This window comes from Homo sapiens, chromosome X (assembly GCF_000001405.40).
Source record: "Homo sapiens chromosome X, GRCh38.p14 Primary Assembly".
Lineage (NCBI taxonomy): Eukaryota > Metazoa > Chordata > Mammalia > Primates > Hominidae > Homo > Homo sapiens.
In genome coordinates, this window is record NC_000023.11 from 68234877 (window position 1) to 68254057 (window position 19181).

General features: G+C 39.1%; 1 protein-coding gene across 7 annotated transcripts in view; it reads right to left on the reverse strand.

The window, feature by feature from the left end:
• Window positions 1-19181, reverse strand: part of OPHN1 (oligophrenin 1) — a 391498-nt gene that overhangs the window by 192533 nt on the left and 179784 nt on the right. The window lies entirely within an intron of this gene.

Sequence of the window (19181 nt, forward strand, 5' to 3'; positions counted from 1 at the left end):
TAGATATATTTTCTTCCCTCCAATATTTTTCACATAGATTAACCACTCATTCAAATTTTCTTACAAAGGAAGAAGACATAACACAAATGGAAGTAAATATTTGTCATGAAAAGGTTAATCTACAATGCACTTAGACAGCTAATAATAAGTAAAACATTTCCAAAGAAATAGGAACCTGGGATTGTCTCTTTTTAATAAATTACTTGGTATTATTTAAGCACTTCACTCCAAAAAGCTGATATTAAAAACAGAGAAAAAAAATCCTGGAAAGTTTAACTAGAAAGCAAGGGTTGTAAAGATTTGTGGCAGATGAAGGACTCAGCCTTTACTCTTCTCGAGTATGAAATTTAATTAAGTTCTCTGCTACTCAGCACAACTGGAAGAAACACAGCATCTAAAGTAGCACTAACAATGTTCCTTTGTCACAGACTAATGCTGACACTCTACTATTCTCTTAGCATCATGCTGGAAAATCAATGTAAATGGCTTGTGCTGTCTCATGCGAAATCCAAAATCACTGAGCACCTGCAATGTGCCAGGTAGTAGAAGAGGCACAGCAGGGGACACACGGATCAAAGAAAAAAAAATCACCCATGGTTTATTGCTACAAGCAATCTGTTGCTGGGCAGGAAGCTAGGGCAGAGCTGAGTGACCTGTGACATATAAGAAATGTGCTTTTGGCCGGGCACAGTGGCTCATGCCTGTAATGCCAGCACTTTGGGAGGCCGAGGCGGGCGGATCACCTGAGGTCAGGAGTTCGAGACCAGCCTAGCCAACATGGTGAAACCCCATCTCTACTAAAAATACAAAAAAAAAAAAAAGAGAAAAAAAATTAGCTGGGCTTGGTGGTGCACGCCTGTAATCCCAGCTACTTGGGAGGCTGAGGCAGGAGAATTGCTTGAACCTGGGAGGTGGAGGTTACAGTGAGCCGAGATTGTGCCACTGCATTCCAGCCTAGGTGAGAGAGCAAGACTCTGTTTCAGGCGGGGTGGACAGGGAAGAAAGAAAGAAATGTGCTTTTTACTATTTTTTTTTAATGAAGGGAAACGTGTAGGGAGGAAGCTAACATTCATTAACCAAGGCCTACATCAGGCCAGGCACTATGATAGACACTTAAAGTCTATTATCTCATTTAGACTTTACAACACTGAGAAGCAGATATTGTAAAGGAAATTAAGGTTCAAATAAGCTGAACTAACATCCAAGATCACAGTCCATGTAGCCCAGATTATCATGGGTGGAATAACATTCATGGGGCTTATAAATAATCAAGACGTCTTAGGAATACAACTCGAGAAGTTCCATAGCCCAACCCTAACTCAGATACCAAAACACAGGAGGTAGACATTTTCACACAAAACATAGGAAGGACAAACTGTTCCTCCAGCTGTTGAATCAATTTAAAGTACCAATTATTTGAGAAAAGCATGGGCCAGAAAACCTTACTGCCTTCACCAAGGACCGATAAGATTCTGTGGAATACTTTCTCCTTCAAATTCAATTTTTAAATTAAAAACTGAAATATAATTCTCATATCATAAAACTCATCCTTTTAAAGTGTACAATTCAGTGGTTTTTAGCATATTCACAAAGCTGTGCAACCACTGCTGTTATCTAATTCCAAAATATTTTCATCACCCCAAAAAGAAATCTTAATCACATTAGTAATCATTTTCCATTCCCCCTTCCACCCACCTTCAAAAAGCCACAGTCTACATTCATCTCTATGGATTTTCCTATTCTACATCTTTCATATTAACTGGAATCTGCATTATGGCCTTTGGTGACTGGCTTCTTAAACTTACATAATGTTTCCAAGGGTCATCCATATTGTAGCATGTATCGGTACTCCACTCCTTTTTATGACTGAATATTATTTGGCTGTATGGATGTACTATGTTTCCTTTATTCTTTTGCAAGTAAATATCCGGTAGTCCCAGCACCATTTATTCAAAAGAGTATTCTTTCCCAACTGATTGCTTTTAATATCCTTGTAAATTATTAGTGAACCATAAATGTTTGTTTCTGGACTCTTTATTCTATTGATCTATATGTCTATCTTTATGTCAGCACCACACTATCTTGATTACTGTGGCTTTGTAGTAAGTTTTCTTTTGTTTTGTTTTGAGATGGAGTTTCACTCTTGTTGCCCAGGCTGGAGTGCAGCAGTGCGATCTCGGCTCACAGCAACCTCCACCTGCTGGGTTCAAGAGATTCTCCTGCCTCACCCTCCCAAGTAACTGAGATTACAGGCATGTGCCACTACACCCAGCTAATTTTGTATTTTTAGTAGACACGGGGTTTCACCATGTTGACCAGGCTGGTCTCGAACTCCTGACCTCAGGTAATCCACCCACCTCAGCCTCCCAAAGTGTTGGAATTACAGGCGTGAGCCACAACGCCCGGCCTGTAGTAAGTTTTGAAATTTAAAAATTTGCCTTTGACATTTTTTTCTATTCTGGTCCTTTCCATTTCTATGTGGATATTAGGATCATCTTACCAATTTGTGTGAAATGGCCAGCTGGAATTCTGATAGGGCTTGCATTGAATCTGTAGATCAACTTGATGAGTAATGCCATCTTAACAATATTAAGGCTTTCAATTCATGAACACAGCTTGTCTTTCTATTGATTTAGGGCTTCTTTAATTTCTTTCAATGATGTTTTGTAGTTTTCAGCATATAAGTCTTGCACATCTTTTGTTAAATTTATACCTAAGTATTTTAATCATTTTGATTAAATCAGATTGTTTTCTTAATGTTCACATTATTAATGTCAATAGACATACAATTTTATTCCAAAGTAGATAGAAATAAAATTTATTTTTATATACTGATCTTGTATCCTACACAATGTTGTTGAACTCCTTCATTAGTTCTGTGTGTGTGTGTATGTGTTTGTGTGTGTGTGTTCCTTAGGATTTTCTATATACAACATGAAGTCATCTGCAAATAGAGATAGATTTACTTCTTTCCAATTTTGGCTAATTATGCTAACTAGAACCTCCAGTGCAATGTTGAATCAAAGTGAAGAACGTAGACATCCTTATTTTGTTCTTTACCATAGAGGAAAAGATTTTAGTCTTTCCCTTATGTGTGATGTTAACTTCTAGTTTTGGTTACAGCTGCCATCAATCAGGTTGAAGAAGTTCCCTTGAATTCCTAGTTTGTTCCATATATTTATCAGAAAAGGGTATATACACAGGACAGAAACAACCTTTGAGTTTTGCCTTTCACTTCTAGGCCCTTCATCCGCCTGGAATTCAGCATTGTTTGTGATGTTACGTAGGAATCCAGCTTTATATTTCTCTATATAGAGATTCATTATTCCTATAATCACCTATGAATTTTTCCACTCCCCATTAATTTGGAGTGCGATTTTTATTTTATATTAAATTAATATGTGAGTTTGAACTTCAGCTATCTATTCTGTTTGACTAGCCTTCTGTTTGAGGACCAATATCCGACTGTTTTCACTCCACTGACTTTGTAATATGTGTGCTGCCTGGTAGAGAAAATCTCCCTTCTTTTGTCTTTTTTTTTTTAAGGTTAACTTAGCTATTTGTGCATATTAAGCTAAAAACCCAACTAAACTTTAATTTATAGATTAATTAGAGGAGAATTAACATCTGTATAATATTAACGAAATCCATTTGAAAAGAGGAAAGGTCTAGAATTTATTTATATTTTCTTCCATGTCCTTTACTAGATTTTAATGTTTTTCCCAATAGAGATCTTGTGTATTTCTTTTGAAAATAATTTCTGCATATTTTAGTTGTTATTGCTAATGTGAATGATATTGAAACGGGAAAAGTTCCCTTATCCCCTTCACAGGGCATGAGACTGGGCTGTGGCTCGCTTCTTCGGTGCCCCTCTGCTCAAACCTCTAGGGGGCGCATGCAGATGGGCAGGTTGTGGGGCATGTGGGCTTTAACCCCAAGGCAGCATCTAGGGGCAAATGCTTACAGCTCCTTAAGCCCCAGTGGGCGTGCGTTACAGTGTGCTCTTTTAGTTTTGTTGTCTATAGGCAGCTCGTGTTAATCAGCTAAATTAGACCCTCTGCCTTATCACAAGGAGAGAGGGCTTTCTGTATCCCGGGTTCTTGCCGTGGTGTACCGGAAAAATCAGATCATACATGGGATTGGAGAATGAGTGCAAGGTTTTACTGAATGATGGAAATAGCTCTCAGCAGATGGATGGGGAGCCAGAAGGAGGATGGAGTGGGAAGTTGGTTTTCCCCAGGAGTCAGGCCGCTCAGCCGCCGAGCTCTCCTGCCTCTCCTCTGACCGCCCTCGGCTGAACTCAGCGTCTTCCCGCCATAGATGACCTGCTGGCAACTGCTGGTGTCTGCCGGTGTCCTCCTGGTGTCTGCCGGTGTCCTCCTGGTGTCTGCCGGTGTCCTCCTGGTATCTGCTGGTGTCTGCGGCTGTGTTCTTCCGCCTGTGTGTTCCTCTCGATGTCCAACCACTTGTGTCTCTGCCCTCTAGGGTCTTGGGGTTTTTATAGGCAAAGGATGGGGGCATGGCGGGCCAGGGTGGTCTTGGAAAATGCAACATTTTGGCATGAAAACAGAAATGCCTGTCCTCACCTAGGTCCGTGGGCACAGGCCCAGGGGTGGAGCCCTAGCCAGGGACCGGGCCTTTCTCTTCCTAGCACTTGCCTGCCCCCCTCCCGTATCAATATTACTTATCACATTTACTGGTTACTTATTGCACGTATTAAAAATAATATTAACTTTGGCAAATTACTCGTGTCATTGCCAATCTGGTGAATTTCTTATTAGTCCTTATAAAGTTTACTGATGCTGCTGATTTTCCCAGTTATATAATTATATCATCTGCAAATAACACCATGCTGTTTTGTAATGTTTTTCAAATAGTAACCAATTTTAAATCTTTCCTTCCCATCTTTGTGCACTTATTTAATTTTCTTTCCTTTTCTATTTTTTTTTTTTTTCTTTAGAAGGAGTCTCACTCCCAGGCTGGAGTGCAGTGGCGCAATCTCGGCTCACTGCAACCTCTGCCTCCCGGGTTCAAGCAATTCTCCTGCCTCAGCCTCCCAAGTAGCTGGAACTACAGGCACCAGCCACCATGTCTGGCTAATTTTTTGTATTTTTAGTGGAGATGGGTTTTTGCCATGTTGGCCAGGCAGATCTCAAACTCCTGACCTCAGGTGATCTGCTCGCCTCGGCCTCCCAAAGTGTTGGGATTATCGGCATGAGCCACTGCGCCCGGCCAATTTTCATTCTAACAGTATTAGTGGGGCTCTCCAGTACTGGGTTAAACAATAGTAGACAAATGGGTATCTTTCTCTTGTTCTCCATCGTAAGATGAACATATTTAAAGTTTCTCCATTTAGTATAATGTTTGCTATAGGTTATCATATAAATATTATTTACTTAATTTTCCTGCAATTCTAATTTGATTACAATAAGCACATGTTTTTCTCCTTTACACTAGTAATGAAAGGATTTGAACCGACTCATTTCTAAGGTTAAAATTTTTGGGGACCACTTTTTCTGAGGGAGTGAAGGGGAGGGGAAGTATGAATTCCATTTCAATATCTTTAATATATATCCGTCTACTCAGTCTCCCTCTTTCCTTTTGCCAACTTTTGGCCATTTACATTTTTCTAGGAATTAACCTCATCTCTTTTTTTTCAAATGTGTTATAATTCTTTCGTCTTTTTAACAAATCTGTTGTGTCTGTAATATTTCATTTATTTTACTCTATATTCTCTACTGTGTTTGTTTGCATTTTCCTACCAGTCTACCTTGTTAATCCTTTCAATAACTAATTTTTGGCTTTGTTAATTACCTCTACCATTTTTTATTGTTATAGTTGTTTTTTAATTTATTTCACTTCTGCCCTTAAGTCTTATATGTCCAGCTGTTTTGTCACTTCGGGTAGGTTTTGTTGTTGTTATCAATTTTTTTAATTTAAATGCTCAATACATTTGTTTTTAATCTTTCTTATTTGTTGATCAATATATCTAAAGCAATGAACTTCCTTTCTACATAATGAACTGTGTCCCACAAATGTGGATATATACTGACTTCATTGTCATTTCATCATAAAATATATTTATTTTTTTAACCCAAAGAATATTTGCCATTTTGTTAGTTCCCAAATATGGAATGTTTTATCATTAATTTTTAATTTTATTTTCTTATGGTTAGAAAACATACTCTATGTGATATAGAATCTTTTGAATTTTTGAGGCTTCCTTTATAGCCTGATGCATAGTTTATATTTCTTAATGTTGTCTGTGTACCCAAAAGAACATGTATCCCTGTTTCTTGGATACAAAGTTCTGTGTATTCTATGTAAATAAAATAGCTCAAACTTATTGTATTGTTAAGATTTTGATATTGTCACTTATTTTTCCTGGGCAATTATTATCAGTTTCAGAAAGGCAAATGTTAAAAAGTTCCAATGAAATTGCTGTTCTATCTGCTTCAGTTCATGTTTCACGAAAATGTTTGCTATACCATTATTAATAATAGCAAAGTGGAACAAAGAAATAAAAACAAACTAAATTATAATTCATTTATGTAATGGAACATTATGAGTCATTACAAATTGTAAGAGAACATTTATTGACCTACAGGGGTATCCATGATATTAGTGAGTATTAAAAAAAGTTACAAAACAGAACGCTATATGATCACATTTATATAAAATTATACACAATTATGCATATATATTTGACAAAGGTCTAGTATGCAAAACATAAAATGAACTCTTAAAACTCAACAATAAGAGGCTGGGCACGGTGGCTCACACCTGTAATCCCAGGACTTTGGGAGGCTGAGGCAGTCAGATCACCTGAGGTCAGGAGTCCAAGACTAGCCCGGCCAACATGGTGAAACCCTGTCTCTATTAAAAATACAAAAAATTAGCTGGGTGTGGTGGTGAATGCCTGTAATCCCAGCTACCTGGGAGGCTGAGGCAGGAGAATCACCTGAACTTGGGAGGCGGAGGTTGCAGTGAGCCGAGATCGCGTCATTGCACTCCAGTCTGGGCAACAAGAGCAAAACTCCATCTCAAAAAAAGAAAAAACTCAACAATAAGAAAATAAATGAGCAAAACTTGAATAGACATATGGCCATATCACAAGATATAGAAATAGCCAACGAATACATGAAAAGATACTCAACATCATTAGTTATTGGAAATGCAAATCAAAATCACAATGAAATATGACTTCACAGTTATTAGGATATCTAAAATAAAAAATACAGAAAATAGCCTGTAATCCCAGAGCTTTGGGAGGCTAAAGCAGAAGGATCGCTTGAAGCCAGGAGTTTGAGACCAGCATGGTGAGACCCCCATCTCTACAAAAAAAAAAAAAAAAAAAAAAGCTGGATGCAGTAGCACATGCCTGTATTCCTAGCTAGTCAGGAAGCTGAGGCGGGAGGATCTCTTGAGCCCAGGAATGCAAGGCTGCAGTGAGCTATTATCATGCCACTGCACTCCAGCCTGGGTGACAGGCTGAGATCCTGTCTATAAAAAAATTAGAAATGAAAATTATATATGTGGAAAATAAGTGTTCTTGAGGATGTGAAGAAATTGGAACTCTTGTGAACTGCTGATGGGAAAGTAAAATGGTACAGGCACCCAGGTAAATATTTTGTCATGTTCTCAAAAATTTAAACACAGAATTACCATATAACCAGGCAATTTCCCTCCAAAGTATATACCCAAAATAATAGATAACAGGGACTCAAGCAGATACTTGGTGACCAATGTTCCCTGTAGTATTTACAATGGCCAAAAGGTGGAAAAAACCCAAATGTCTATCAATTGATAAATGGACAAAAAATATGTGGTATATACACTAGATGGAATATTATTAACCCATAAAAATGAAGGAACTTCTGATACATGCTACAACATGAATGAACCTGGAAAACATTATGCTAATTCAAATAGGTCAGACACAAAAAGAGAAATATAGTATGAATTCATTTATATGACATATCTAGAATAAGAAAATTCTTTTTTTTTTTAAGATGGAGTCTTACTGTGTTGCCCAGCCTGGAGTGCAGTGGTGCGATCTTGGCTCACTGCAACCTTTGCCTCCTGGGTTCAAGTGATTTTCCTGCCTCAGCCTCCCACGTAGCTAGGACTACAGGCATGTGCCACCACACCTGGCTAATTTTTGTATTTTTAGTGCAGACGGGGTTTTACCATGTTGGCTGAGGTCTCAAACTCCTGACCTCACATGATCTGCCCATCTCGGCCTCCCAAAGTGCTAGGATTACAGTCATGAGCCAGCAAGCTTGGCTAGAATAAGAAAATTCATAGAGAAGACAGAAAGTAAATTAGACTTTACCAGGGCTGGGGAAAATGGGGAGTCATTCCTTACCGGGTACAGAGTTTCTGCTTGGGGTGATAAAAGGGTTTTGGAAATATTTGATGGTGATGGTTGCATATCATTTTTAATACAATCAATATTTCTGAATTACACACTTAAAATGATTAAAATAGCCAATGTTGTTATATGTATTTTATTTATGTATTTATTTTGACCTGGAGTCTCGTTCTGTCACCCAGGCTGGAGTGCAGTGGCACGATCTCAGCTCACTGCAACCTCCACCTCCCAGGTTCAAGCAATTCTCTTGCCTCAGCCTCCTGAGTAGCTGGGATTACAGGCACCCACCATCACGCCCAGCTAATTTTTGTATTTTTGGTAGAGACAGGGTTTCACCATGTTGGCCAGGCAGGTCTCAAACTCCTGACCTCGAGTAATCCGCCCGTCTTGGCCTCCCAAAGTGCTGGGATTACAGGTGTGGGCCACCATGCCTGGCCTGTTATATATATTTTAGCTTAATAAAAGCCATGTAGGCTTAGGATCAGATAAACTCAAACTCAAATCTTGGTTCTATAAATAACAATAATTTTGTGACCTTTAAAAAATTAACCTTACTAAGCTTCAGATTTCTTAATCTCTAAAATAATCACAAAAATAACATCATATTTTACTGGGTTATGTGAAGACTGATGAAATATATGCATGTAATGTGCTTATCACTGTATCTGTCCAATAAACAAAAGCTATTATTATTATCAAAAACATATAAATTGATCATATCATTCCCCACAGTTAAAAACTTCCAGGACTCCACACTGTGCTTGGGATAAAATCCATAGTTGTTACTATGACCTACAAAATCCCCTATGATCTGGCCTGGGCCAGAACACTCTCTCATCAGTGTTCACTTCAGACACAATGGCCTTCTTTTAGTTCCTTAGACAAACCACTAAGCTTGTTCCTACCTCAGGACCTTTGTGCGCTTGCCATGACTAGAACACTCTTTCTCCAATTTTTCTCATGACTGGCTTCTTTTCAATGTTCAGGTCACACCTGAAGTGTCACATTTTCAGAGGCTGTCCATTATGACTCCTTCTAAAGTTGCCCTAGACCAACTCCACCCCCACAAGTAACATCGAATCACCGATTTTATTGTCTTCAAAGCATTTATTGCATTTGTTGCAATCTGAAATTATTTATCTAATTATTTGTTTAACATCTGCCTCCCACCCTCTGGCACACCACTAAAATGTAAGGTCTACATAAGCAGAGACTTCATCTGTCCTGTTCATTGTACAAGGAATGGTGTCAGGTACAGAGTGTGGCCAAATTAACATCTGTTTAGTGAATCAGTGAATGAACACATGAAGCAAATTTGCAACCTCAGTGCAGAACAAGCATGAATTCCTATCCAAATATGACTATAACATCAGAATACTGGATCAACTCCTTTTATTCTACATATTCTGAGTTAACTTTTTCAAGTAAAAACACATTTTTCCAATATAACTTTAATGTAATACTAGAAATAGTTACCACTTATTGAGTATTATTTGTAAGTTGTTATGTTAAGCACTTGATATGCATTACCTCTTTGAATCCTCATACAAGCCTGTGAATGTTACTATTCTTATCCCAATTTTACAGAAGAGGAATGAGCCTGAGCCTCAGAAAACGAACTGTTCCAAAGTTGCACAAGCTAATAGAAGTAAAAGAAATGGAGATTCAAACCCATAATTGACTCTAAAGCCCTTACTTCTAACCTCGACAATATACTAGGTTATATACTAGGAAAGGGCACTAAACCACGTTCAAATTCTGCATTTTCCATTTACTACTTACATTACCTTAAACAAAAATCTTAACCTTCTGACTCTCAATATTCCCAATGTAGAAGTAGATAACCTTGTGAAGAAACCACCATATATTTTATAAGGAAAGGCACTAAGGAAATGCTTTAAGGACACAGCACACCCCTAAATGAGATCCCACAGACACCAGGTATAAGACAGTACTAGTAGACTTAACTCAGTACCAAGTATAAACTCTTTAGCCTCGTATTCAAGGCCCTGCAGTCTCACGCCAATCTACTCTCCAGTTTCACCTCTTGCACTCCTTGTATGAAACATGTATATTCTAATCACACCAGATTACTATATGTTCCCCAAATATGCCACACTTTTTCATACTGTGCTTTTTGTTCATATGATTTCCTCTATATAAAACATACTTTCTCAAAGATTTCCTTATTTAAATAGTAAGGCATTTAGCAGACTCGTTTCTTCTTTCAAGAGTGGAGTCTACTTAATTTGCTCATATAGGTCTACCTTGGCTCTAGTTGCTGAGACCAAGTCTACAATGAGACAGGGTAGATTAAGAACTCCAGCCCCATACACTAGATTTACTGTCATGTCAATGTGGCTACCAGCCTGACTCTGACTTTGTGTCCCATTTGAAACATCAGGACTTCTATCTGGTTCAGAATTCCCAGTCTCTACCTTGCATACCACTTGAGTGCCAGATGAATTTTGTGTGAATCACACCCTCCATTGATAGTCATGCCCTCTATAACTGGATCATATTTGGTTATGGAAAATCTTTATTTATTATTTATTTATTTATGAATTTTTGAGTTGGAGTTTCACTCTTGTCACCCAGGCTGGAGTGCAATGGTGCAATCTCCGCTCACCACAACCTCTGCCTCCCAGGTTCAAGTTATTCTCCTGCCTCAGCCTCCCGAGTAGCTGGAATTACAGGTGCAATGCCACCAGGCCTGGCTAATTTTTGTCTTTTTAGTAGAGACGGGGTTTCACCATGTTGGCCAGGCTGGTCTCAAACTCCTGCCCTCAGGTGATCCACCCACCTCGGCCTCTCAAAGTACGGGAATTACAGGCGTGAGCCACTGTGCCTGGCCGGTTATGGACAACTTTGACACTTGCCATTATCCCCTTCCTACCACCACTGAACTAAGCACCTTGCTCCCTGCTAAAAAACCATCCTGAGGTACCATACCTCCGTTTTAAAATAATGTCAACTCTTGAGTTCCTATTGCTACAATGTGTTGACTATCATCATTTAGCCAAAACTGTTATGCTGTAGTCCTTCCAGGCCTTGACAGTAAGAATGGGGCTCTGTTTTTAATGCAAGAGGGATTTAAGTGTGTTGCTATATGGAGGGAGAAAAAATAAGAAAATACAAGGAGTGGGATAAAAAACCCAAATGAAGAGATCATCTATGGGCAGGAGAAGGGCCAGGATGTTTTCTGGGATGAGAGATAAAAAGGCAAAGATAGGTGAGGATAAAGAGGAGTTTTGCAGAAGGCTAGAAAATGAGTGGGTCGATGGTTGCCCAGTGGCACAGAGGAGACAAGAAACCATGGTCTTGTGGTTAGAATAGTTAGTTTACATAACTTGTAGCTCCATAAAGTCAAGGACGGTATCTTATTCAACTCCATCCCTAGGGCCTAGCATTGAAATAGGCGAAAATGGGTGCTCAAGATACACTTGCTAAATTAAAATATAATGTAATACAGGAAATCAAACATGAGTATAAAGAGAAGAGAATCTGTTATTTTCTGAGTAGCTCTAATATACTATGCATAGTCTAGATATTTGACCCCCATTTAATGATCAAAGTTGCTGTATAATAAACTTTAGTAGTACTGTTTTACAAATGAAGAAACTAAACCTCAGGAAGATTAAATATCTTACCCAATGCAAAAAACCAGTAAGAGGTGGGTTAAACTATCTAAAATTTACTACATTCCCCTGCTGCAAAGCGTTCCATATCAACTACAGGACTAAGTATACTCACCTTGAGAGGATATACATGATCCCTCATGAGATGGCAACGCGTACTTTGAAAACTTTCTTTGTACAAGCTGAGCCCTCCACTTAGCATCCTTGTACCTCACACTCCACTTCACTGGCTAATTTCAAATCGTCCTTCAAGATTCCATACAAGAAGATGTATCATCTTCTCAGTGGTGTCTTCTCTAAGTCTTCCTCAATATCCCCATATCCTATCTTTGTTTGCAGTCCTTCCTGTACTCTCTCTGTGTACACGATCATATTATAACCCCGACCTCACATACTGTCCTTGTAAATTTGTCTGTCTCCAAAGTATTTAAGGCCGTAGGCAAATTTTCTCTTTACTATAGTTTTGCTTGTCAGGCATAAATTTAATATTCCATCACATAGATTTCTTATCTGTGCTAGCTATAAATATAGTAACTAAGCTTGTAACAGGCATAGACTTAGTTCTGAGGGGAATCTACAGAGGACAGGCCATTACAACTGGCTTTCAACACCCTTATAGTCCACCAAGGACAAGAGATGCATCCCAAAAGCCCAATATTCCTTTCAGTTGTAAAAAGAAATGTTGACATTAAGTTATGTGCTAGCCATGTCCTTCCCAGAGTTACAGTAAATCAAGAATAAATTGCCAGGTGGAGCGCAGTGGCTCATGCCTGTAATATCAGCACTTTGGGAGGCCAAGGCGGGAGGATTGCTTGAGCCCAGGAGTTTGAGACCAGCCTGGGTAACATGGCAAAACCCAGTCTCTACAAAAAAAAAAAAAAACACACAAAAATTAGCTGGGCATGGTGGGGTGTGCCTGTATTTCCAGCTACTCTGAAGGCTGAGGTGGGAGGTTGCAATGAGCTGAGATCACGCTACTGCACTCCACTCATCTCAAAATTTTAAAAGAATAAATTGCCAATTATTGTGGAAAGATGCAGAGCAAGATGTCGAAATAGAAGGCTCCACCGATTGTCCCCCTCCACTGCAGTGACACCAAGTTAACAACTATCTACACAGAAAAAAATACCTTCATCAGAACCAAAAATCATGTAAGCACTCATAGTACAAAGTACCTGGTTGTAACTTCATATCGCCGAAAGGACACTGAGGAGATAGATAAAACAGTCCAGAATTGCAGACACCACCACCCTGCCAACTCCTGGCAGCAGCAGCATGTTTCAGAGAACATCTCTGGCTGCTGGAGGAGGGAGAACACAGCAATTGTGATGCATTGAACTCAGTGCTTTCCTATTGAAGCAGAAAAGAAAACTGGACCAAAAATGGGCAAAAGATTTGAATAGACATTTCTCAAAAAAAAAAAGACATACAAATGGCAAACGGGCATATGAAAAGATGCTCAACATCATTGATCAAAGCAATGCAAATCAAAACTATAATGAGATATCATCTCACCCAGTTAAAATGGCTTATATCCAAAAGACAGGCAATAACAAATGCTAGGGAGGATGTGGAGAAAAGGGAACTGAGGTACACTGTTGGTGGGCATGTAAATTAGTACAACCACTATGGAGAACAGTTTGGAGGTTCCTTACAAAACTAAAAATTGAACTACTATAAGATCCAGCAATCCCACTGCTGGGTACATACCCCAAAGAAAGGAAATCAGTGTATCAAAGAGATATCTGTACTCCAATGTTTGTTGCAGCACTGTTTACAATAGCTAAGATTTGGAAGCAACCTAAATGTCCATCAACAGATGAATGGATAAAGAAAATGTAGTATGTGTACACAGTGGAGTAATTATTCAGCCATAAAAAAGAATGAGATCTAGTCACTTGCAACAACATGGATAGAACTGGAGATCATTATATTAAGTGAAATAAGCTAGGCACAGAAAGACAAACATCACATGTTCTCACTTATTTGTGGGATCTAAAAATCAAAACAATTGAACTCATGGACATAGGGTATAGAAAGATGCTTACCAGAGGCTGGGAAAGGTAGTGGAGGGATGATGGGGAGGTGGGGATGGTAAATGAGTATAAAAAATTAGAACGAATGAATAAGACCTACTATCGGATAGCAATACAGAGTGAATATAGTCAATAATAACTTAATTATACATTTTAAAATAAAGAGTATAATTGGACTGTTTGTAACACAAAGGATAAATGCTTGAGGTGATGAATACCCCATTTACCCTGATGTGATTATTATGCATTGCATGCCTGTATCAAAACATCTCATGTACTCCATAAATGTATATACCTACTATGTACCCCAAAAAATTAAAAATAAAAAAATGGCCTATGGAGATTGCTGTGTTTTATATCTGCCTTTTGAGAACTTATTTTATTCTTTTAGTTTAATGTAATGAAATGGATACTGATGCAAGAGCAACTGCCCAACCAAAAGTCTAAGGGTAATGAGCTTTGCACCATTCCTTGAGAATCTCCTATAGATGAGCAGCTGGCTGGGCCCAATTCAGGATGACACAAAATGCCTCGAGAACACCATGTCCAGGCAGCCAGAGCCAATAAGCATCTGTCCTAGCCAGAGGAAGTTAGCACAAATTGCCAAAGTTTTAAAACATTGGCTCTGGATCAGCAAATCTCCCCTCTGTGTACTGAGAAGCCTTCTTCTCTGATCAAATAAAGTTGGAATCACTTGGGCTGGCAAGACCAGCTGTGGAGCTGACAGCTGTTGTCCCTCGCCTCTTCCCACTTGGAAGGAGATGTGAGCTTATATAACCTCCTCCACCCACTTGCACCAGTCCCCGAGGATCCCAGCATGCGGAACAGGCAGGGCTGTGAGCTCTGAGTGAATACTGTATCACTCTTTGTATAGGAGGAGAACGCTTCTTGTCAGCAGGACATGGTACTTTGGCATGTAACAAACTAAGGCCTTTCTTCACAAGGGCACTCCAGCAAAGGTTTCCTAAATTCTTGCTGGGGTGTCAAGAGAAAAAATAACGAGCATAATGAATGAGAACTCTAAAAACTATAATGTCAGATTCACCTTCAACACTATATACAAAATTCAGATTCATGACTATTTTTAAGGTAAGGATAAATGTGGAAAAAGGAGATGGCACAGTTCAGCAACTTCTCAGACAGCCAAGATACATGGGGTCACTGGCTCTTAATCTCCGCCCCAAGGGAAATTGCCTCATTGCTCTTTTCCTATGTTAGACAGAAATGGCAAGGCCAAATTGTCTTACAGACTGCTAAGGAATCAGTCATACAGATAAATCAATCAAGCCAAGGATTATAAACCTTGTAAGAGTTCATAAACTATAAGTTAAAAGGAAGACTTATAAAGTCATCTTTAAAATGTATAGAAGTATTTCACGGAAATAGAACTAATGTTTCAATGCCAAGCATGGTTTTATGCACTATCTCATTGAATCCTCACAATAACCCTGTGAGGCTGATATAATTATTGTTCACATTTTAGAGTTGAAAACAAGGCTCAGAGGAGTGAAGTACTTCACTCCATGTCACAGAACTAGTAAGTAGCAGAGTTGGCCTGCTCAGTTCTGATGCCTATGTGCCACGTGGCTAAAGGCGTGGACTCTGGAATCACATAACCTGGGTTCAAGTACCAGCTCTGCTCCTTTCTAGTGCTTGACTGTGCCAAAGTTATGTCACCTCCCTGTGCCTTAGGTTTTTGTTGCTGTTGTTCCTTGTTCGTGTTTGGTATTTGCGTTTATTTTAATCTGTAAAACAGAAATAAGTAAGACTCCCTGTCTCATAGTTTTGAGGATTAAATGAATTAGTACCTGTAGACTTCTTAGAAGAATATCTGGCACTATATGAGCATGATATGAATGTCTGACAAATAAACACATATAAATATGTTATAATAGCATAAAGACAGAAGAGGCCATGAGTCATATCTAGCCCACTGTGCTTCTTTCAGGAATAACTCCACTTAACACATCACATAGCAACAGATGCCTCTCTAAAAGATCTTTGGGGACAGCAATGTTACCAGTTTCCCTAACAATATATAACATTTAAGTACAGTTACATGCAAAAAGCACTTACTCTGCCTGAACTTCAGTTCTTCCTATTATGATTTTGGCCTACTTCTCCTTGTTCAGGGCTTTGAAGAAATGGAAAACAGATAAGCATGGTAATGTGGAAAGAAGAATTGTAGTAAAACAGCTTTAATTTCATGAGAAAAGGAGGAGAGCTGAAACCTCTCCCAACACCCCTCCTCAAATGTTTTTTTTTTTTTTTTTTTTTTTTGGAAACGGAGTCTCACTCTGTTGCCAGGCTGGAGTACAATGGCGCAATCTCGGCTCACTGCAATCTCCACCTCCCAGGTTCAAGCGATTCTCCTACCTAGCCTCCCGAGTAGCTGGGATTACAGGCACGCACCACCACACCCAGTTAATTTTTGTATTTTTAGTAGAGACGGGATTTCACCATGTTGGCCAAGATGGTCTCGATCTCCTGACCTCGTGATCCACCTGCCTTGGCCTCCCAAAGTGCTGCGATTACAGGCGAGAGCCACCGCACCTGGCCCCTCCTCAAATATTAACTATTCTTCTAAAGCAATGAAGATTGAGGAATGGAAAAAGAACTCAAAGTTCCAGTCTTTACTGATTCAACCTAGCTGTTTGAACATAGACTAATCATTGCATTCATTTACTCTACATCCTTATCTAGGTAAGTGAAAATATAAGATGAAGACATCACATGGACCCTTAATGCTCAAATATCAAGGAAAATGACTTGTTCAAGGTCATACTAAAAAAGTGTCACAGTTAGGACTCAAAACCAGATCTCCTAACCATAAGGATCTTCCCACTACACCTCTCACTCTCCATCAGAGTATCTTTTCTAGCTCTCATCTTCTGACTTCCTACTGCCACTACTTTTCAGCCAAGGCATGGCAGATTGAATTATTGTTCCCAAATTTCCCCCCACCTCTCTGTATCCATGTACTCTGCCATGTGACCTTGCAGTTCTGCTAAAGGAAGAATGTATTTCACCTCCTTACTGATGTTGGGCTTGGCCATATGATTTGTTTTGGCCAACTGAATTTGTAAGGAAGCAATGGTAGGCTGGCTTTGAGCCTAGCTTTGAAAGACCTCACGTGTCTCTGCTTACCCACCATGCACTTCTGCCACCATCCTGAGAATAATCTGCCTCAGGTGACCCTCTGATCCCTGAAAAATTGAGACACATACAGCAGACCTAAATGGAACTTGTGGCCTGAGCCAAGCCCCATCGAACCTAATTGAAAAAAAACAAAGCTACCTCAGCCAACCCATAGATGTGTGAGCCAGAAATAAATGCTTATTGCTTTATGCCACTGAATTTTGGGATGCTTTGTTATGTTATTCTTATGATATCTAACCAATATGCAAGGTTTTCTGGGGTTCTCAGAAAAGTATTTCCTGGCAATAATACTGTCTTAAAGAACTAAAAATCTGAGCCCAAATTAAATCGCCATACATATCATCAGGCAACATCATCTACCAACAATTTCCCATTTTCCAATGAGAGGGTTTACCCATGAACTCAAACACCAGCTTGTTTAAAGTTCTTATTTTCCTGCCTCAGTTTCCTCACAAAATAAATGTTACAGTAGGGACTGCATCATAGAGTTGTCGAAAGGCTCAAAAGAGATTGCATGATAAATATTTAATACATATTGAGTGTTTCATAAGAATAGCAATGATGATGATGAATTGGCATCTTCCTTGATACAATCAAGGAGAGGAAAGTAAATGCTTTGAAAACAATATAACAATTTCCTTTTAACTATTGAATTCTGGTTGGGGTGCAGGGCTTTTCCCCCCTTACTTGCCTACTAATGCCAGCCACTTCCTAATTGTCAACGGAAGTGAGAAGCAGCTTTATCTCACACACACAGAGGCTACATAAGTAAATAAGAAAAAAAATCCTCTGGACATGCATATCCTACTGTGAGCAGAAGCCAGTTTCCTGGGGAGTTTTTTTTTAGAGGAAGTCTGGCTTTGGAAGATGGACCTCCTCGAAGATTGCTGTGCCTGGTGAGACTGACAACATAGTGCCAGTTGAAAGACAAATTTTTAAACACCCACTTTGGTTAAAAAACAAGCAAGTAAAAAAAAAAGTTATATTAACTAAGTTGTCTGGATAAATATTGGCTTAGTAGTTTATTAAAATAAAAATACACCCCTTGATTTTCAAAACAGAAATCTGGAGACTCAGCTAGGCTCTAGTCTTGGCTTGTATTAATCATAGAACTTTATAAGTAAAATAAACCATATAGTTCATTATCCTCATTTTTTTTCAGATAAGGAAACTGTGATGCAAAAAGGTGCATCTGATTCTTTCTGAAGAGAAATGGCTAAAGCAGGAATGGGTTAAATGAGGGCCAAGACATTGGGTCTACAAGGTTATCTCAGCATAATTTGAACAAAAATAAAACTCATACAGCTCTGCCCAAAATATTATATTTATGGAATATCTCTGAAGAACTGGTGATTACATCTGACTAGGAATCAGGCGACCTGGGTTCTGATCCCATCTCCCCTGCTAACCATCTATGCTCCTGGGTCAGTCACTTAACCTTCTAAGCCTCAGTTCCCCCAACTGTAAAGTGAGGTGGGACTAATAACTTTGAAGGTCTCTTCTGCTGCTAAATGTAAGCTACAATATAAATGGATAGTAATAAGTCAATTTCAGTTAAATTTTTTAAAATTTTTAAACCACAATATGCTTACATCATATAGGCAGAAATCACTGCCAAATATGTTCTTAAAGTGCCTGTAGAAGCTAAAGCAACTCCATCTTGGATGCAAATCTACTATATTGACTTCTGATTAACCTCTGTTCTGGAAATGCCTCTAAGATTTCTACTTTATCTACTGTTATCAGTCTTGCCCGTAGATCAGAATAACTTTGACCATAGATCCTGCCCTTAGAAAGATTCACACAGCATTCTTGCCTTTGCCGGGCAGGTCAACTTCAATTGTCCTACACATTCCGTCCCTGTGGTATGTACGCCCTGCGTCTAGGGGGTAACGGCACAGGGATCCACCATCTTGTCTCACTGCTGCCCAAGACTATGGCTTCTATTTGTAAACATCTATTACATGTTTCTCT